This window comes from Homo sapiens, chromosome 21 (genome assembly GCF_000001405.40).
Source record: "Homo sapiens chromosome 21, GRCh38.p14 Primary Assembly".
Lineage (NCBI taxonomy): Eukaryota > Metazoa > Chordata > Mammalia > Primates > Hominidae > Homo > Homo sapiens.
Window position 1 is genome coordinate 32,066,805 of NC_000021.9, and position 22,091 is coordinate 32,088,895.

At 43.9% G+C, this 22,091-nt stretch overlaps 1 long non-coding RNA gene across 1 annotated transcript; it reads right to left on the bottom strand.

The window, feature by feature from the left end:
* Nucleotides 1-13,676: 13,676 nt before the first annotated feature.
* LINC00159 (long intergenic non-protein coding RNA 159) lies at nt 13,677-19,491 on the bottom strand. Its single transcript, NR_038033.1, has 2 exons — nt 19,400-19,491; nt 13,677-13,713 (listed from the first exon to the last, which is right to left on the bottom strand). It is a non-coding gene; the product is annotated as a long intergenic non-protein coding RNA 159 (long non-coding RNA).
* Nucleotides 19,492-22,091: the final 2,600 nt, after the last annotated feature.

Below are 22,091 nucleotides of genomic sequence, written 5' to 3' on the forward strand. Positions count from 1 at the left end.
GGCTCACACCTGTAATCCCAGCACTTTGGGAGGCTGAGGCAGGCGGATCACGTGAGGCCAGGAGTTTGAGACCAGCCTGACCAACAAGTCAAAATCCTGTCTCTACTAAAAATACAGAAATTAGCTGGGCATGGTGGTGGGTGCCTGTAATTCCAGCTACTTGGGAGGCTGAGGCGTGAGAATTGCTTGAACTCAGGAGGCAGAGGTTGCAGTCAGCTGAGATCGTGCCACTGCACTCCAGCCTGGGTGATGAAGCAAGACTGTCTCAAAAAAAAAAAAAATCCAGACAAACCGGAAAAACACAAAACAACCCCAGCTGTCCGTGGGCTATGTCCTAATGGGGTCCTGACTCCTGTATGCTACCTCCTTCTAGCAGTTGCAGCCACTCAATGTCCACTTGAGGGGCAGCCTCCATTTTCACGAGCAATGCTGAGCTGAGGGCTGGGGACAATTAAGTCCCTCCAGATGGATTGTTGACCCTGATTCCTCTGACAAGGATTCTCTCCTCCTTCTTCCTGCCTACTTGCCTCTGTTCTTCCAGTCGGGGCCTGTCTTGGTCTTAGTTCTCAACCTTCCACCTTTCCCAGACGTGAGGCCACACTCTTGCCCGCCGTGAACAGATGCTGCTCCCTGTGGACCTGGCTGTTTGCTGTGGGCTCTTCTGCAGATTATCTTTTTGTCAGGGCCCGGCTCTGGCCAACTTGTGGTGTTGGGAAGCATCACCTACCTACAGGCTGCCATAAACCAGAACGGAGAGACCATCAAGCTTCTGGGAACAATTTGGAATCTAAATGTTCCCTGGAGCCACTGTAATTTGGGCAGAGAGGGGAAAACCTCAGTAAAAAGTTGAAGGGAGAGAAATCAGGATCAGGGAGGAGAGCTGGGGGGCAGAGGGAGAGAGGAGGCACCTGGAGACACCTGTTCCTGCGGCAGGACGGCGGGTGGGAGCTGTACCTGCAGGCGGCTCTGTATCCTGGCCAAGATGCTCCGCCCATCACCTCTGTTGCCACCATGTTGCCAGGAAACATTTGGATTGCATTCTACCATTGAAGAAGCCCTGCCAAGAGGGCCAGTCAGGGCCAGGACATCATTCCCTCCTGCTCACGGCTGGCCGTGCCCAGCTGGCTATCCAGAGGGCACCAGCATCAGGGATCAGGAGCTCACCAGGTATTTCTTTGCATGGTGAGTGGTAACTTACAAAGCAGGGCCCTGCACTGTGAATAGGCAAGTTCAGTTTCGCTGGGTCTTGACACAGTGTGGTTAAATAACACCTGCAGATGGAATCACCAGGAGAGCCTGTTAAAATACAAATTCCTGGGACTACCCCTATGTACCCCCAAACTTAGTCAAAACTCCCACTCTGTGCCAAGTACTGCTCAACTCACTTTATATGTGTTAACTCACTTAGAGTTAATACCTGCAAGGTAGGTGCTACTATCATTGTTCCCATTTTACAGATGAAGAAACTGGTGCAGAGAGGGCTGGGAAGGCACCCTGGTCACACAGCTAATAAGAATTGGGATCTGAACTCAGGCTGAGTGGCTGCAGAGCCCTCTGCCAGGCCAGCCTGGGAGCCTCCTGTCTCAGACAGAAAAGCCTGTCCACTTGAAAAATGGACATCAGCAATGGCTTTTCAACCTACTGGGCTAATTAGTGCTCACTTGGAAGTCATCAGCTTAAACCAAATATTGTTAATCTATAAAATTCCTATGACCATGGGTCAGCCACCTTGCTGCCCTGTAAATGATAGGGTATTATCTTCCCAAACTCAATAAGGTTTTCAACCTATTTGGGAGTCAGTGACCTCCTTGACAATCCAATGAAAGTGTGGATCTTGCCCACATAACAAAAGACACCTATTCACATTTAATATGTAATAGCAAGAATGCCCAGGAAATCTGTGGATGCTATGTTGTGAACCCCAACCTACATGAATACATGAATCTTCCCTAAATTGAGGTTCCCCCCATCCCTCATCTCTTTGTCTCTTAAAATTCTCAGTAAGAAGGGAGGCACACCTAGGAAAATTATTTGATTGGAGTCAAAGTAATTAAGGCACAACTTTCCTTCCCTTTGGTACTTGCAAACATCCATCTTAATTAAAGTGTTCATTATGAGGCCAGTGCTCGGGGCTGCCAGGAGACTGGATAAGACAGAAAACCCCTTAGGATTATGAGAGGTCACTGCTTATTGAACCTGGGATTCTCATTACTGAAGCGACCCTATGCCTTGGGTAGCTTAAGGAAGATTCTCTGTGGCAGCAGACATGGGTTCTTTGAATTTTCTTTGAAGCCAGTTTTTGCCATAAACTGTAGAGTTACCTTACTTGTGTTATTCAATGAATGTTCTTTCCCTACAGTTCTACCTTGGGTAAGTAGGTTAACCAATTAAGAAATGTTCTGTGACAGTTAGTTTTATGTGTCAATCTGATGAGACTCTAGTACCTAGTTATTTCATCAAACACGGATCTAGATGTTGCTGTGAACATATTTCGTAAATGTGGTTAACATCTACAATCAGGAGACTTTAAGTACAGGAGCTTATTCTCAATACTGTGAATGGCCCACTCTCAATCAGTTGGAAGAGGCCTCATGAGGAAAGACTGACATTTCCTAGAGAAGAATTCTGCCTCAAGACTAGAGGATCACACTCTTGCCTGAGTTTCTAGCCTGCTGGCCTAACCTACAGATTTTGGACTTGACGGCCTCCATAATTGCAGAAGCTCCGTCCTTAAAATAAATCTCCTTAGATAGATGATAGATAGACAGACAGACAGACAGAGATCTGTATCTATCTCTATCTACCTACCTACCTATCAATCTATATCTACCTAACATCTATCTGTACATATGTATCTCCCGTTTGTTCTGTTCCTCTTAACTATAATATGCATCCGAAAGAGCACAGTCATCTATGTGGATGACAATTGCTTTGTAATAAATAAAAGAGCTGTATGTTATCAAATGTCACTCGATTACCCACATGCCCTGCTCCCGGCCCCTGGAAGGAGCGATGTGAAGTCAGAACGGTGAGCTGGGAGCAGGCAGTCAACTTGGTCCTTCTCAGCTTGACTATGTATCAGTGTCACTGTAGGGGGTGTGGGAGGTATGGGGTAGGAAGAGTTTGTTAAAAATGCAGCCTCTCAGAGTTCTACCCTCCAAAGTTCTGAATCTATGGGTCCGGGTCCAGAAGTCTGCATCTTAACAATCCCCCAGAGTGATTCTACTTCAGGCGGCCCTTTGAGAAATACAGCTTACAGGATGGCCCCCAAGCCTCCAGACCAGGCCCAAATCCATTCTCCATTTTCCCATTAGGTCCTTCAAGTGCTGAAGCTAAGAGCAAGGGGGGCCAGTTTTTACCCCCTGGTTAGTGCCCTGGCCTGGCTGTGCCTCTTGAAGTCCAAACACTTAATGCCAGGAAAGGTACATGTGAGGCCTTCTAGCTCCCATGGTGTACTGACTAAGCTGATGGACTCTTTAACCAGACCGCGCAGCGTTCAAATTCCAGCTTGGTCTTTTAATGACTGTTTTTACAACTGCATGTCACACTATTTCTTTGCTTCTGCAATTGTGGTATCATCTTCTGACGTGACATATGGTGGGCTTGCTCCACTTGCCAATCCAATAGCAGATTTGATTTTACCTCTTCCCACAATTTCAGGTTTAAACAGCAAAATATGAATGTGTTGGTCTGAATACCCTGGTGGCTTCGCAGTTTGATACTGATCTGCGGCCTCCTTTTATAGTACAATCCTCATCGAGTCAGTACGATAGGAAGAAACTCAAGACGCACTCCAGGCACTGGTCCTACAACAACCCCCAGCTTTGAGGCTTTCCTTCCCTCCCGAAAAGCTTCTCTGGGTACACGCAGAGTAGCTTTGTTCCTCCTCCAACAAAGAAAGCTGGCCCATCCCTTCCCAACCTCAAGGTACATTCCCATTAGCTGATGTGAACCTTGTTTGCCTGTGCTTGAGAATCAAGAAGAATGGGGCCGACCTTACATGTGACTGGATCTTTATCGAAGTCTTTACCAGGAAGACAGCTATCAGGATACTATGAAGGTTACGGGGGCAGAGCAAGGAGGACAGCGGGGGTGGTGGCGCTCATAAAACTTAAAGATAAGGAAGCAGAGGCCTCTTGCCGTGTTTGTTCAGAGGATCTTCCACCTTCCATGGCCTTCCAATAACTGATCTCCCCTACCTTCCAGCACTTGCTGACCTGCCCTCACCTCCTGCCTCTGGCCTCTTGCAGACACAGACCTGCAAAACATCTGCAAAAACAGTGCTGGGCTGCCCTGGCTGTTAACAGAGGACTCACAGAGTCTATTTAGTTTTCGAGTTCTGATTTTATCTTGTTTATAAAATCCATATGGAGAGAGAAGGAAAAAGAGAGTAGGGGGAACAAATAACTTCAGGCTATCAAGAGTAGGTTGATAATCAAGAGTACGTTGGCTTCTGGCAGATGTGGTGTCTCTTTTGGGCCTGGGGTTTGGCTTTGCCGATTCCATTGCTCACAGCTTCTCCTCCGGTCAGTCCAGCTGCTTATTTGAGCATTTTGCAGAAGAGGAAGTTTAAACTCAGAGCTGAACTCCAGGATTGAGGTTGTTATTAACTTTGTCATCTGAGCTTGTCCTCTCTCATCAACGGAAGAGAAGTTGGCTGTATCTAATCTGGACTAGGGCTCTGAAGACCCGATCCGGGTCTCTGGCACCTGCTGGCTGTGTGACTGTATTAGTACGTTTTCACATTACTGATAAAGAAAGTTTACCCAAGACTGGGTAACTTATAAAGAAAAAGAGGTTTAATGGACTCACAGTCCCATGTGACTGGGGAGGCCTCACAATCATGGTGGAAGGTGAAAGGCATGTCTTACATGGCAGCAGGCAAGAGAGAAGCTTGTGCAGGGGAGACTCCTATTTATAAAACCATCAGATCTTGTGAGACTTATTCATTACCACAAGAACAGCAGGGGAAAGACCCGCCCCCATGATTCAATTACCTCCCACTGGGTCCATCCCATGACACGTGGGAATTATGGGAACTACAATTCAAGATGAGATGTGGGTGGAAACACAGCCAAACCATATCAGTGACCTTGGGTGAGTCCAAGGCCAGGCTCTCTAAGTCTTGGTTTTTCATCTGGAAAATAGAGGTAATACAAGGAATGTTTGTGAAGAGCTGACACATAATGAGAGCTCAAAACATGTTAGCTATTTGGTCTTACTCTTTCTCCCTTGTAATGACTTCATCTTGTAAGTGCCACATGCCCTTCCCTGGATCACCTTCCCTAACTTATATGGCTGTTGGAGAATTAATTGCAACAAGGGTCACAAACACATCTTGTAAATGTGATTCAAACTCCACACTAATGCCCAGATCATCATAATTACCTCTCTAACCTTCATCTTGCTTTAGTTTATCTTTCCCTCCATATCTGGAATACCCTCCATTCTCCCCTTTTTTCTGCTTAAAAAATTCCTGCTGAAGATCCAATCAAGTATCCCTCTCTCTAAGAAGCCCTCTCCAGCCTCCCCAGGCCTCTGGCTGTTTCCTTTACTGAATGCATAGAGTTATATTTATAGTTTTCCATCCTGATTCCATCATTTGAATCCAAGTTCTTCTAAGGTCAGAAGCTAGACCATGTTCTTTCACAAATCCTAGGGTCTAGCAAAATACTTTACACAGAGTAAGGACCTGGTAAATAAATGGAAGGGTGGATGAATGGATGGGTGAATGGATGAAAAGATGATGAATGGACAGATGGATGGAAGGATGGACGGTTAAGTGGTTGAATGGATGGGAGAATTTTGTAGACACGTCTCAAGAACCATCAATAGTTGATATCCAGTCTCTCAATGTCTCTACTGTGCTAAAATGATTCCCTTGTCTTCAGCTGACATTTATCAGTGATTGGTACAATGAGCATAGGAGGACTGATGGACTTCTAGCAAAAGGTTAATTCACTCAACTCCACATCTAAAATATGATCTTAGGAGATTTTGGCCTGCAGTTGGTCTTCTCCAGGGGAGTCAGCCTATGGCAGGTTGGATGCTCATCCCAGCTGGAATCATGGTGTCTGTCCAACTCTTCCAACTCCTATAGAAGAACTGCCATGGCAAACTCAACCAAATATGTCACAGCCTTTGTGATCAGGAAGGGTTTCTCAGCATCCTTTACAAATCTCTAAAGCTACGGAAGAAAATTACTACCTCTTGTTAAGATGGACCATGGTATTTAACAAAGATCGCTGGGTTGGAAACCAGGACGTCTATGCTCTTGGCCTGGTTCTGCCACTAATTTGTTCTGGGATTTGGGACCAGCCACTTCACCTCCATAGACCTTAGCCTCTTTGTGAGAAAAATGGGGACTGTATGATTTCAAGGCCCTGTTCGGCTCTGCAAGGCATGATTTCATGTTCTGCAGGGCCGCAGGCTCTAAGACCCCAACTTAGCCCTGCAAGATGGACTTCAGAGGCCCTTCCCTGCAATCCTCCTGCTTGGCCCTGCTGTCTGCCCACAGACTTCCCACGGAGAGGAGAACACAGCCCACGGTGGTTACCAGCACGGAGCTTGGCTCTGTTGCCCACTAGCTCTGTGGCCTTCGGCAAGTTCCTTAACCTCTCTGTGCCTCAGTTTCCTGATGCATAAGATGAGATAACAAAGGGACCCACCTGCTAGGGCAGTTAGAGGATAAAAGGACAAAATGCACAGAAAGTGCTTATTATGGTGCCAAATGCAGAGGAAGTGCTGGAGAGATGGGAGTTATGATGATGGTGTTTATGAGAGACTGATGGCAGAAGCCACAGATTCTGGCCTCTCATCCATTGAGACCTCCCTGACAGCCGCCTCAATACCAGGACTCTTAGATCTGCAGGTCCTGGTTCTTAAAGGCACGTTCAGCCTCCACACTCCTGATGTGTGCCTGGGCCAAGGATAGGGAGCCCCAGCAGCTTGAATAAAACCATTGTCTGGATAAAGGGGGAGCCCACAGGGAGCAGGGGCCGTTCCTAGCTCTCTGGGCTGCCTGAGCGCCCCTTCCTCTATTTTCTCCCCTTGTTCTTGTGGCCCTGTGGCTGCTTTTATCAGAGCAGAGGGGCTCTGACCCCTGACGGGGGAAAATGGCCGCCCTCCTCCCACATGGCAATTATTCTCAACTGCATCAGAGCCAGAGCTCTGGGCCCAGGAGGGCTGCTTTAGCACAGGGTGGGCTTGGAGGAGGCAGCTGTTCCCCATCGGAACATTTTGAAAGTGGCTTTGTCTCCAACCAGCAACCCTTTGGCGCCGGATTCCTGTGCACCTTCGAGCAACAAGGCAGCAAAGTGGTCCATCCACCCACAGAGGAAGAAACTGCGGCCGTCCCGCTGATGCTGAGAAAAGGAGCGCTCAGCTGGTCTTTCGGTCTGCGGGGGCTGCCGTGACAAAACACCACAGGCCGGGGGCTCACACGGCAGAAATGGGTCGTCTAAGTTCAGGAGGGTGGAAGTCTAAGATCAAGGTGTTGGCAGAGCTGGTTCCTCCTGAGGCTGCGAGGGGGAATCTGTCCCAGGCCCTCACCTACCCTCCAGGGGTTTCCAGCAACCTTTGGCCTTCCTTGGTTTATAAATGCATCACCATGGTCTCTGGCTTCATCTTCACATGGATTTTCCTCCTGTGGGCCTGTCTGTGCCCAGATTTTCCCCTTTTATAAGGATACCAGTCATATTGGATTTAGGACCCACCTTACACCAGTACGACCTTGTCTTAATTAATTACATCTGCAATTACTCTATTTGCAAATAAGGTCACATTCTGAGGCACTGGGGGTTAAGACTTCAACATATGATTTTGGGCAGATGGTGGGGGCAAAATTCAACCCATAGCATTTGGCATTTGGCCTTTCCTTAAAGAAGGAGCTTTTTTTTTTTTTTTGAGATGGAGCCTGGCTCTGTTGCCAAGGCTGGAATGCAGTGGCGTGATCTTGGCTCACTGCAACCTCCGCCTCCTGGGTTCAAGCGATTCTCCTGCCTCAGCCTCTCAAGTAGCTGGGATTAGAGGCGGACACCACCACAGCCGGGTAATTTTTGTATTTTTAGTAGAGACGGGGTTTCACCATGTTCGTGAGGCTGGTCTTGAACTCCTGACCTCAAGTGATCTGCCCACCTCCGTCTCCCAAAGTGCTGGGATTACAGGTGTGAGCCACTGTGCCCTGCCTCAAGGAGGGGCAATATTAAGTCCACCTGTGTCTCTACGCTCATGCGAGGCAGCCAGCAGGTGTTTCCTAGGCCTCTGGGCAGAAAGGAGCCTGGAAGGTCAAGGTGATCCATCCTCCATTGGCTGGCTGCATCTCTGGCCCCCAGCTGGGGACTCTCCATGTGGAGTTTGCATATCTCTAGCAAGAGCAAACTGACTACTTCCCTTCTCCTTGGGCAGCTCTTTAATGCAGAACGGCCTTCCATGTAACACTTTTTTTTTTCTTTTTTTTTTCTTTTTTTGAGACAGAGTCTCACTCTGTCACCCAGGCTGGAGTGCGGAGGTGCCATCTCGGCTCACTGCAACCTCCACCTCCCGGGTTCAAGCAATTCTCCTGTCTCAGCCTCCTGAGTAGCTGGGATTACAGGCACCTGCCACCACACCCAGCTAATTTTTATATTTTTAGTAGAGACAAAGTTTGGCCATGTTGGCCAGGCTGGTCTTGAACTCCTGATCTCAGGTGATCTGCCCACCTCGGCCTCCCAAAGTGGTGGGATTACAGGTGTGAGCCACCCCCCGCCCCCCGGCCACACTTTGGTTTCTTACTTGAGCTCTCCACAGTGAGAAAGAGTTGAAGGGGAAAGAAAAAGGTGCTGTCAAAGTAGCTGAGACGGAAGCCAAGCGCAAAAAAGTCAATATTAGCTTTGCAGTCATCTTATTCCACTAAATTTGTTTTAAACTAAGATATTAGTTTACAAGTTCTCTCCAGAAATGACAGACTATTTATTCTTCCATGGAAGGCAAGCCGTTTGAAAGGTTTTTTAAAAAGCAAGGATAAAAGAACAATCTAATGTGCCAGAATACAAGGCTAAAATGATTTTTTTTTCTAGAAAAACAAAAGATCCCAATGTATTTATAGTGTATAGCTAATGGATATAAGAAAATCTTTTCAGGAAAATTAATGACAATGTGAAGAGTCATTCCTTCATTTGAAAACTGGGTTAGCTTCCTGAAGGGAGGGAGAGAGGCTTTCACGCTTTTGGTTCACTGAGAGCCAAGCTGGCTGGGACCACCAAAGCCGTCCCACCAACCCTTCTGATGAAGAGACTGTGGTCTCAGTGGCAACTGCCATTGATTGAGAGCCTCCCACCTTCCAGGTGTTTTACATGAACTTGCTCATTTAGTTCAACAGCTCTGCCCAGAGGCTTCAGTGCCCCTACTTTGTGGGGGTGGGGTGTGAGAATGTCTCACTTTAGAAGCTGAGATTCTAAGAACAACTCAGGTGCAGCAGACTCCCTGAGCCTTGCTCTGTGTATCCAGCTGTGTGTACATCACAGACAGGACTTGACGTGACTTCTCTCCCATCATGGGCTCCATGCTCCAGGCCGCTTGAGCTAAGCCCACTTCCATTCTGGAAAGTTTTGGGCTGGGAGCTGATGGCAGGAGACGCAGGAGGAGGCAAAGAAGGGCAGACACGTGGGCTGCTCAGACTGTGATCACAGGCCACCAGGAGAGGGGCTTGGGGACAGTCCTTGTGAAACCTCCCTGCGAGGCCGGCGAGGCCCCAGGGGTGCATTGGGCTCCATAGTCCAAAGGAGGCATGAGGGTCCCACTGGGTCTCTAGCTCCCCAGCTCTGGTGTCCGTAGGCTGCTCCCTTCCAAGGCTCCAGTGTCACCCTGTCTGGGAAACTCACAGCTCCTCAAGGTCCCCGGTCCCTCGCAAAGGGTCACATCCAGCCCTCCGTGATCTCCTTCTAAGACAGCATTATGACCCGTTTGTCTTTTCTCCCTGCCACAGGACAGTGGGATTCTGCGGGCTTCGGTGCCTTCTCCACGATGCTGAGGGCCTGAGCCTGCTCCACAGCCTTGAATGTTTAAGGCATCCTCGCTTCCAGCCCCCGTGTGGCGAGAAAGCAGTAAAGGAGCAGAGGGAAGGTCCGGACCCCCACGGCCAAAGGAGGCATCTGCGCAGAGCACACAGCACTGGCTGGCACCTGACTCTTCTGTGGCGGCCCTGAGGCCCGCACTGTGCGGGAAGCGGCAGCCGAAGGGCCCGGATTCAAGGCCGGCATGGACTCGGGAGCTCGTGACCTTGGGCCAGTCGCTCCACCTCTCTGGGATTCTGCACTCTTCTCTTTGACAATGTGTGGGTGTTCCCCAGGCACCTTCAGGGCAGCAGAGAAAGCCAAGATGACAGATGCTGGAGAATGACAGGAGGCACGGAATCGATGACTTTCTAACACACACCACAACACACACACATACACACACACACACACACACACACACACACACACACACACACGGCACTGCCCGCAGCGCCTCATTATTCCCAGATAGATAGGATCAGGGGGAGGGAGCCGGCTGCTCTATTTTTCTTTTAATTAAATAATTAATTTGGACTCTGCCTTGTTCTAGAAATTATTAAAACCAGGCAGCCAAAAATTTCCAGTAACATCTTTTCTTCATTACCAAAGCAATTCACTTTCAATGTAGAAAATTTTAAAAATACAGATAATTTTTTTAAAAAAACCAACCCACTCATCATCTCCTCAAGTCTCCTGCACAGCGAAATACTGGATGCTTCTGCTGTTTATTCTTCTGGGCTTCTTTCCCGATCCTCAATATACTTTAAGATATTTACTTAAAAAACATGGGATCTTACCTGGTTATTGTTTTCCAACTTTATGCTCTACCTAATTGAGTGGTAAATATCTTACAGTATCAATCAACATAACCATACATGCAAATTTGCAATTACAATTTTTAGTAGCGCCTAGTATTTTGTTCTAGGACCGTGTCATACATTAATCATTTGTTTTTCATGTATTGGATTTTTCTAACTTTTCACTACTGAAAGTATTAACATTAGACTGAACATCCTTAAACAGAGTGTCAGCAGACTTGAAGATAACAGTGAAAATATCATGGTTTCTTAGTCACTTCATTCCCTTGTCTCATTCAGATGAAAAAAGAAAAACAATAGTAAACCATAAAGAAAGTTCAACAAAATTCTGGTTTGTCTGTGATGCCTACTCCAATCTGTTTTTGAAATGTTGAAAATATAATTCTTTTAAAAAATTGATTCTTTCGTTTCGCAGATATCTAAACATCCTTATCTCTTTGTGCTTTTAACAAACAAAAGGACATTGCTGGGTCAAAGGACATGCATATTAGTATGACTTCGGAGACATAGTGGCAACCTGTTTTCCAGAAATGACCTATCAGTTTACATTTCTTGGGGGTGAACTGTCTTCTCCACACTCTCTTTGTCAACCCGTTAGGCAAAAAGTGTCTCCTCTTTGTTTCGTGTGCATTCTATTCATTCATGAGTTTGAATACTTTTTTTCATCCATTAATTGGCTATTTGTACTTACTGGAAGAATAGTTGGTTCTTATTCTATCCTATTTATTTATTTATTTATTTATTTATAGATGGAGTTTCACTCCTGTTGCCCAGGCTGGAGTGCAGCGGCACAATCTTGGCTCACTGCAGCCTCTACCTCCCAAGTTCAAGCGATTCTCCTGTCTCAGGCTCCTGAGTAGCTGGGATCACAGGTGCCCGCCACCACGCCTGGCTAATTTTTTGTATTTTTAGTAGAGACGGGGTTTTGTCATGTTGGCTAGGCTGGTCTCTAACTCCTGGCCTCAAGTGATCTGCCCGCCTTGACCTCCCAAAGTGCTGGGATTACAGGCGTGAGCCACTGCGCCTGACCTCCCATTTATTTTTTTACAGGGCTGTCTTTCTCTTGTTGTCTGTCAGAATTCTCTGTATTTTAAGGATATTAAACCCTGTTTTTGTAATTTGTCACAGCTATTTTCCCAGATGTAATTTACCTTTTGTGTTTTTATTCATGTTTTTTAAAAATTTATGGGTAAAATATTTTTTATAATCCTATTTCCCAATATGTTACTTTATTGATTTTTCCTTTGGTGTTATGCTTTAAAAGTTTTTCTTACTACAAGTTTACATAAAATTTTACTTCTTTTTCCTCTCAGTACTCTTATGTTTTAAAAAATATGTAAATCATATGCAAATTATCACCACATGTTATGAGGAGGGAATCTCACTTTTTTTTCCAGATAGCTAATTATTCCAAATCCATTTATCAAATGGTTCATTCTTCCTCACTTAATTGGAACAGCATCTTTAGCTCATCCTCATTACTTATACACGATCAGGGATGTAGCTGTGCTTTTTATACCTATCTATTGTTTCTAAGATAGTATCATTTTATTTATATTTTCTTTTAAAATATGTTTTAATATCTGGAAAAACAAATACCCATCTTTATTTTTTTCTTTTTAAAAAACTAACCAGTTTCACACATTCTGCCAAATTAACTTTAAAATCATTATCAAGTTCCAGAAATGATTTTATTGGGATAGAGACTGTAATTGTAATGAATATATATAGTTAGTTTGGGTTGAATAAACATATTTACAATGTTAAACTTTCCCAAACGCTGTTGTGTCTACTTTATGAAGTAGATTTTTAAGAAATTTAAAAATTATTATTCAATAAAGTTTTTAGATCTCTGCTTCTAGATTCTGTAGACTTTTTTTTAACCCCTCAATACCTTATATTTTTGTGAGCAGAATCTTTTCTTTCTGTTTTCTTAACAGTCACACAAATAATTGCTAGTCTCTTGTATTTCTCCTCCATGAGGACAGGGACTCGGGTCTATAGGCCATTTAAGATCATCTTTTTCCCCATTAATGTCAAAACTAAGAGTTCTGATAGAAGGTTTTTTATAGACTCAAATTTGTCTGAAGCTTCTGGGGATTTGGAGAACACCCTCTCGGAATCTCTCAGTACCCCTAGATGTGACAGCAAAACACAGCTGTCCTGAGCATCCTTCACTCGTTTCCCGGTGCCGACAGTTGGCACTCACTTCTCTTTGGTTTTTCCTTAAAGGAAGACCCAGACACCCCGGCCCCACTCTAGGATGTTCAGACTGAAAGCTCCCAGATGGTCTGTTTTACACTTCTGAGCATGTATCATGGCTACCGAGGATTTTGTGACAATGGTCACAAAATTAGGACTCCATAAAATAAATACCTGATTGGGACCACCAGGAAACCAAACTCATCTGGCGGTTCTCAACCCTGACTGAATTAAAAAAAAAAAAAAAGAATCATCTTTGGAAATTTTAAATACTACCAATGCCTTGGAGATGCTGTCAATCTGTCTGGGATTGGGCATCAGTACATTTCAACCCCTGGTCCCCTCCACTCCCTTGGAATTTGATTCTGATGTGCAGCCAGGGCTAAGACCCACTTCTTTAAATGGTGCCCAACGGATTCATCAAATGCTTATTTATATGCAACAGAAACAAATTATAGATGATTTAAGCAATAAAGGGGTTTATTTAAATGATATTTAAATAGATATCTTTGGCCTTTGGGAGAGCCGAAGAACCAGCCTTGATGTCTACATTCCAGTACCAGTTCCGCACATCACACCATAGAACTGACACAGCGATGACACACTGCCTGCTGCTGGGCTTACACACCCAGAGACACAACTGGGTTTTGGGAGCCATTCTAACGGAAAAATAAAAATCATAAACAGAAAATTAGGCACCAAAGTAAATATTCATCATGAGAAAAAAACCCCAATTTAATATCATTAAAGTTAAATATTTACACCTTATCTAAACCAAATGACCTCCCAAAGCCCCATATAGTCATCACGAAATTTAGAAATACTACATAATATTTTAATTTTTTGCCTGACACCACTCTACAACAGATTTTTTCTCTCTCTCTTTCCTTCTTTCTCCCTTTCTCTCTCTCTCTCTCTCTCTCTCTCTTTCCTCTCTCTCTCTCTCTCTTTTCTTTCTTTTTTGAGACAGAGACTTGCTCTGTCGCCCAGGCTGGAGTGCAGTGGTGCGATCTTGGTTCATTGCAACCTCCGCCTCCCAGGTTCAAGTGATTCTCCTGTCTCAGCCTCCCAAGTAGTTGGGATTACAGGCACACGCCACCATGCCCGGCTACTTTTTGTATTTTTAGTAGAGACAGGGTTTCACCATAATGGTCAGGCTGGTCTCAAACTCCTGACCTCAGGAGATCCACCTGCCTCAGCCTCCCAAAGTAGTGGAAATACAGGCATGAGCCACTGTGCCCGGCCTCAATGTATTTTTCAATTTTGCTCTTGGCTGTGTCTTAGTCAGCTTGGGCTGCTATAACAAAATGTCATAGACGAGGTGGATAAAACAACAGACATTTATTTCTCCCAATTCTGGAGGCTGGGAGTCAAAATTAGGGTATCAGGTTGGTCAAGCTTTGCCCCTCACAACCTCGTCTACACCAAGTTACTTTTCGAATGCCCACTTACAAATATAGTCACAACAGGGGGTTAGCTTCGATATATAAATTTGGGGAGGAGAAACAGTCAATAATAGGCTATGTAAGAATATGGTTATAAAATGTAATTTTATAATATTTTCTGTAGAAAGAATAGATAATTTGGTCTTTCTTTTAGCATGGTTTATCCAAATTTCTTTTTTAAGTAATCTTTTTAATATAGAATAGTTTTATACTTACAAAAAGTTGTGAAGATAGTACAAAGAGTTCTTTCATATTTCTTACCCAGTTTCCTCTGTTGTATATTTGTTACAATGAATGAACCAATATTGATAAATTATTATTAACTAAATTCCATATTTTATTTACATCTCCTTAGATGTTTTCTCATCTCTTTTTCTGTCCCAGGATCTCATTCAAGATAACATACTACATTTAATCATCCTATCTCCTTAGCCTCCTCCAGACTGTGCCAGTTTCTCAGACTTTCTATGTTTTTGATGACCTTGACCGTTTTGAGGAGTGCTGGTCAGGTATTTTGTAGAACGTCCCTCCATTTGGGTTTGTCTGACATTTTTCTCTTGGTTAGACTGGGGTTATGGGCCTTTGGGAGGAAGGCCACAGAGGCAAAATGCCATTTTCATCCCATCATATTATATGCTGTCACTGATAATGTCAATCTTGATCATCTGTCCGAGATCCAAATTTGTTTTACATTAATTATGATTTAGAAAAGTCTCCTTTAACTTCATACCCACTATGGGCATTGTCATGTAAAGTTATAGGATTGTTGTTAAATTTGGAACAGCTTCTATCAAGTTTCATCTGCAATCTGAGCATCTAGAAGGGTTTTCCACAGACTAGCTTCTAGCGGCATGCATTTTGGATCTTGTTTCCCCTCCACTCCCCACGTAATTCCACAGCCTGGTACTCAGGACATATTTATATTGCAACTCAATTTCTGTCCCAGAACCTTCATATCATGAAGTTTGTTAATTTGGCACAGTGGACAGTAGAAATTTCCTGGCAGCCATTCTGACCCCGGGGAGGCCAGCAGACTGTAGAAGTAATTAGGAACCACAGAAAAATGATGCCACACTGAACTCAAATGAAATGTATCCTAATGCATCTTCCCCTTAGTTTGTCCCCAAAAATGCCACAGCCACTCCAACACCACATGGCATGAAAGGAAGTGTGACAAATGGTACGTTGGAGTGGATGGAGACAATGATCAGCCTTAACAAATTACAGTTCAAATATCTCGCTTTTGCAGCTTTTATAAAAACATGTGAACACATTTCTGGAACACCCTCCTAGGCCTTGGAAGAGGCTTGTTATAGTAAGGCACCTCCAAATTTAAGTCATTAGATTAACCATTAATCTGGCTCTGCAAATGCCTTAGTGTATGCTGCAGACCCCCCCGACCCTGAACCCAAGATGCTGCAGCTTGAAACACTAGCGCTGCTGTCTCTGGAAATCAGATATGGCTGCTGCTGCCCTAGAGAATATTCTTCACTATGTCTGCTTCGGTTTGTCACCACCTTTCAATTCAAAGTCTGGGGAGGGTGTTTGGCATTGGTTGAGCCTAAATCTTATGCCTTCGCCCTAGCTGCGGGGGGAGGCTGGGAATGTATCTGTTAATTTGAGCTTATAGAGTGAAGACAAGTTCTGCCTTCTAGTGTGGCAGCCCTCAAATCAAAGCAGAAAGTTTATTGTTTGTAGTTGCATTAAAAAAAAGCATGAAATGATATAAAAGGAACTGATGAAAGTAGTTACCTGTGGGGGAGGGTAGTGGGAGGAGATTAGGAGCCAGACTTCTTAATGTGAGCATTTTCCTATCATTTTGAGTTTTAAAACGTGTGCATATATTATCTAGTCAAAAATTAAAAATTTTAAGGGTGATATAATCATATTAACAAATGTCACAAATCTAAGTAACTTCTCTCTTAAATAAACATTCTGAGCAAGGATTAAAAACATTATACTACTAAGTGCACTGCTACACTTCCATCTGTGTTATTTAATGCCACCAAATCCATCAGGCCAATTTGCTTTCCTCTCTTCTCTGCCTATTTTGGCATCCTCCCAAATGGCTCATTTTCACAACATCCCCATGAATTGGCAGTGATTAGCCTTACTGGTAGGGGGAGAAATGGTATGGATTTCCCATACAATGCAAAATACCGTGACTCACTTTCTTGTCGGGAGATTTCAGAACAGTTCCTCACACACAAAGGAGGCTTTTCAGAACCAAACACTGCATTAGGTGCTGAGCTAAAGTGAAGCCAGTGAAGATTTGCTCATTGTCCAGAGATGAATCCTTAGGGTTTGTGAAGTTCTGGGGAAGGAGGCAGGGGAGATCACCATCCAAGGAGTGGAGTGGAAGATTTCATAAAGTGCTTCTGGAGCAATCCTAGTCTATCAGAAAGACCAAGGAGTCCTCTCTGAGAAAAGAAAGCCCTTGATCGGGAAGATAAAGAAAGGACCCAGCTAGAAGTGATGTTCAAAATATTTAACCACTTTTATGGGATGGACCTGACCAATCAGAACCTGACAGGTTTCAAAGCTTCAGAGAAGTCTAGAATCCCTGGTGACCAAGAGAAAGTGATCAGGAATAGCGCCGAGAAAGCTGGAAACACACCTGATACGAAAGTCATGGTTGGAGTCTGTTCTGGTTAGGAGGTAGAGAGACAACTGCATCCTAAGTACTAATTCACTATTTATTACAGAGGTTGTGTTGGCTACAGTCTCTGCTAAAGTCTTCCTCCATCTCTCTCTCCCTCCCTCCCTCTCTTTCTCTTTCTTTCTTTCCTTCTTTTCTTTCTTTCTTTCCTTCCTTCTTTCCTTTCTTTTCTTTTTTTTTGACAGGGTCTCCCAGGCTGGAGTGCAGTGGTGCAGTCTTGGCTCACTGCAACCTCCACCTCCCAGGTTCAAGCGATTCTCCTGCTTCAGCCTTCCCAAGCAACCGGGATTACAGGTGTAAGCTACAGTGCCCAGATAATTTTTTGTATTTTTAGTAGAGATGGGGTTTCGCCATGTGGCCAGGCTGGTCTCGAACTCCTGGCCTCAAGTGATCCACCCGCCTCGGCCTCCCAAAGTGCTGGGATTACAGGCTTGAGCCACCACACCCAGCCCTGAAGTCTTTCTAGAAGGATTCTCCATCTTATTTTTGTCCTAGAGATACTCAATACTCAGTAATCTCATCCTGATCCAATATGGCCTACCCTGAGGAATGGAGGAAGAGCTTGGTTCTGGATTGGACTCTTCTGGCAAGGCAGGCATGACAGCAGACCTTGCTATTCACGAGTTTACGAATAATCTTGAGGAACCTTGAGCTCACCTGTGGTCACTCCTTCTTCCCACCCCAAGGAGAAGAGAAGCTTGTCTTCTTGGATGCAGTTGGGAGCCTACAGCCTACTCCCACACCCAGGCCTCTGTGGCTGTCCAAAGTCCACGTGTCCCCAAGACCATCCTCACTTGGGGAGGACGTCGGCATATTATGGGTTCAGTCATTCTAGGTATAACTATCTTCTGTATGACCAGGTCAAGCTATATATAGCTTAGAAATTTTCAGGTGCTCGATTAGTAATCACAACCAATGTGATTCAAGCATCTATCTGCTTGGATTTTTTAAAAAAGTGTTTTCAGTCTTCCCAGTCCTGGATATTTTAAGCAGAAGGACCCATCCAAGCATCATAGGATAAGCACCCAAATCAGAACAAGCTCCTGGTATCTCAGTAATGAGAAGCTCCTTTCTCATTACTGCCCATCTTCCCTGACCAGACTGAGCCTTTATCCCCTGTAATGATCCTGAGATTGCCCCTTGGATACAAGGACAGTTTCATTTTGGTCTGATATTCTGCCACAGATTTGATCCTCTGATCTGCCCTGGGAATAGATCTCCCTGATCAAGAAGGACTCCTGTGCAGTAAATAATTCACCTTGTCCAAAAGAGGTTTGACTTTTGCCCTCAGCACATGAGAGGTAACTTCTAAGCCCTTGAAATGTTTCTGAGGCAGGAGAATGTTGTGAACCCAGGAGACGGAGCTTGCAGTGAGCTGAGATCACGCCACTGCACTTCAGCCTATACGGTAGAGTGAGACTCCGTCTCAAAAAAAAAAAAAAAAAAAGAGAATGCCTTTGTTTATATGGGGGGCTTGGGATAGCCCAAAGGGTCTATGTTATCAATGTGATTTATGGTGGGGACTTTGAACCACACAGTATCAACCTGACCTCTGGAAGTGCTGGTGACCAAGGTCAGCCCAGCAGATGGTCAATCATGTCTACGTGAACAAGTCCCAATAAAAACTGTGCACACCAAGACTCTGGTGAGTTTTTCCTGGTTAATAATACTCTGTGCATGATGTCAAATGTTGTGTCTGAGAGGTGCTCTCTGCACGACTCATGTTTAATGACTTCTAAAATCTGACCTATATGCCTCTTCCCTTGGAGGATTTTAATCTGTATCCTTTCATGGTAATAAAGCATAACCATGAATATAATAACTTTTCTGAGTTCTGTGCATCTTGCTAGCAAATTATTGAATCTGAGATGGTCCTGGGGATCTTCAATTTGTTGTTGGTGTCAGAAGTGAGGAGGATCTTGTAGACACCCGAACTTTGCAACCTTCAAAGTAGAATCCCAGCATCAACTCACCTGGCCAGAACTCCCATGAAAAGCGATTAGCAATCTTCATCCTAGAACCTGGGGACATTCTGTTTTTCCTTCTTTTCTGGTCAATCGGTCTCTTCTCAGCCACTGCACTCTTAGAACAGTCTGACCTCCTAGTTTCCCTTTGGAGCCTTTCCTACCTCATCCCCAAACCAGGTTAAACCCTCCCACCTGCTGTTTATCCTCTTCTAGAGATATCTCCCTTTTCTGCATCATTACCTTCTCTTATCAGGCACATACCCCAGGTTCATACCTGCCCAAATGAGGTCCTCCTTCTGTCAGTCAATTCCTGAATTATCAAAGCTCACCACATCTTCTGAGCTGGCATTTCCATATGATATCAGTCTGCTGAAAATAAATTCCAATATACAGACACAAGGAGATCCAGTTAAAAGAGCCCAGGAAATTCTCTATTTATTACAGAATGACAAGTAGAGGTCTTGACGTAAACGCAGAAAAGCAGGAGGCCCCGGAATCTCACAGAAAGAAATAACATGAGAACTGGGAAGGACAGTTCTGAAGCTTTCATAAGACAAATCCATCAAACACAAGAGAGAAAATTAGATTTCCTATTCTGCTTTTTCAATAGTGATCCAATTAATACTTGAATACTTGAATACTTCTAAGCCCTTGAAATGTTTCTGAGGCAGGAGAATGGTGTGAACCCAGGAGGCGGAGCTTGCAGTGAGCTGAGATCACGCCACTGCACTTCAGCCTATACAGTAGAGCGAGACTCCGTCTCAAAAAAAAAAAAAAAAAAGAATGCCTTTGTTTACATGGGGGGCTTGGGATAGCCCAAAGGGTCTATGTTATCAATGTGATTTATGGTGGGGACTTTGAACCACACAGTATCAACCTGACCTCTGGAAGTGCTGGTGACTGGGGCAATAAAAACACAGTAATTTGGATCAATTGGTAAAGAGCTCAATATGAGTTAATGAAAGTTAGAATTGCAGAATATAGTGGAAGAAACACAATAAAATTACTTCCAAATATTTACATAGATTTTTAAAAAACAAGCAACCAAGTAGAAGTCTTATGGGTCGATTATAGTAAGTAGACAATTTTCATGTGCCAGTTCACATTATTTTAATCCAATCAGTGCTACTCAAGTGCTTTAATAATGTGAAAAATAGTTTCCATTCTTAATCAGATCAAATATTTTCCTTCCAAGGCATCTGAGATTGTGTTTAGTAAATTTGTATAAATAGTAATTCTCATCTCTCATGAAGGCAAATTTGAGGGAGGAGGTGGGATGGGAGGAAGGCCTAAGTTAATAAGGAATTACTTGATTAGAATGAGTTGGCATATTACAGATCTATAAAATCGAGAGGGCTTGTTTTTCATGGATAAAAGTAGATTCATACTAACAAATGTGTGGTCCAAGAAAGTACTATTAATACTTCATTTCGTTTATTTATGTATTCATTCACACATTGATTTGTTCAGCAAACATTTCTTTAAGACTTATTTCAGGCCCCATATTTGGTTTTGGTGATCAAAGATATGCAAAACACTATTTCTGCCCTCAAGGTATTTGCAGTCCACTAGGACTCTTCAAATGACCACAATTCCATGTGGCAAATAGCTCCTGGTGGGTTCTCAGAGAGCACGGAGTGAAGGACACTCCCCTTCTTCCTGAGTGTAGAGTTCAATATTTCCCAGCCTCCTCTGAGGTTACATGTGGCCACATGACTCACTTCTCCCAGTGGCATGTAGACAGAAGTCATGTCTACCTCTGCTGGGTCTAGGCTTAGGAGATGGGCATACCTCCTGCCTCTTTTCCCCTTGTAACTGGGGCAGAATATAGTCCAACATTGACCATAGATGAGGACAATGCCATTGGGTCTAGAGGATGATGCAGCAAAGACTTGACAACCTGGAAGAAATTGAGTCCCTGCCCACAAGCCTGGCACTCTTGAATGGGCAGATGGAACAGAACTGCCCACGAACCTGGCCCACTCACTTTAGAACTGTTACTTGAGGGGGAGGAGAAACAGCTATAATTTTAAAACCACTTTATGATGGGGTCTTTTTATTCATTTTTATTATGAAAATGTTCACACATATAGAAAAGCTAAAAAAAATTGTACAATAGACATTTATATATCCACAGCTTAAATTATACCATTAAAATTTTACTGCACTTTCCTTTTTAAAATTATAGACCTACCTATTTTTCCACCCATCTATTCACTCATCAGTCCTTCTTAATTTTTGAACAAAATTCAAAGTATATTGCAGACCTCTCTACATTTCAACCTAAATACTTTGGCATGCAAATTATTAACTAGACTTTTTCTTCTGATGAAAAAACTTACATACAATGAAATGCATAAATCTTAAGTGTGTAGTTGTTAAGCTTTGACAAATATTACACCCACATAACCCAAACCACTATCAAGATCAAGATCATTCAATTTCCCCAGAATTTCTATTAGGGTATTTCTGTTACAGCAGCTTAGCTTTACCTTAAATCATATACAGAGTCATAATATTAATAATAGTTAGAAGAGCTGAACATCTTTTATGTGTCAGGGATTATATAATGCATATTTTATTTTTCACAATAAAGTCATGGTGTAGGTATGATTAGCTCTGTCATATTGATAAGAAAAATTAGGTTTAAGAAATTGCCCATGTTCACTCAGCTAGTAAGTGGCAGAGATGAGCTCTGCATCTAGATCCCACTGATTATAACACCTGGCATCTTTCCACTACTCTCTTTGACTGACTCTGCCTGAGGGCTTCAGGGGGAGCTTAGCTGCACAAAGGAAGAATATTTAAGCTACATCTTGAGCCTCAACCCTGGAAGATTGAGCTGAATCCACTTATCAGAAGGACAAAGCAGGGAAGGGCTTTCCATGCAGAAGAAACATCACATCCAAAGCAAAGAAGGATGAGAGTGTAGCATTTGAACAATTGCTGATGTCTCCATCTGCTCA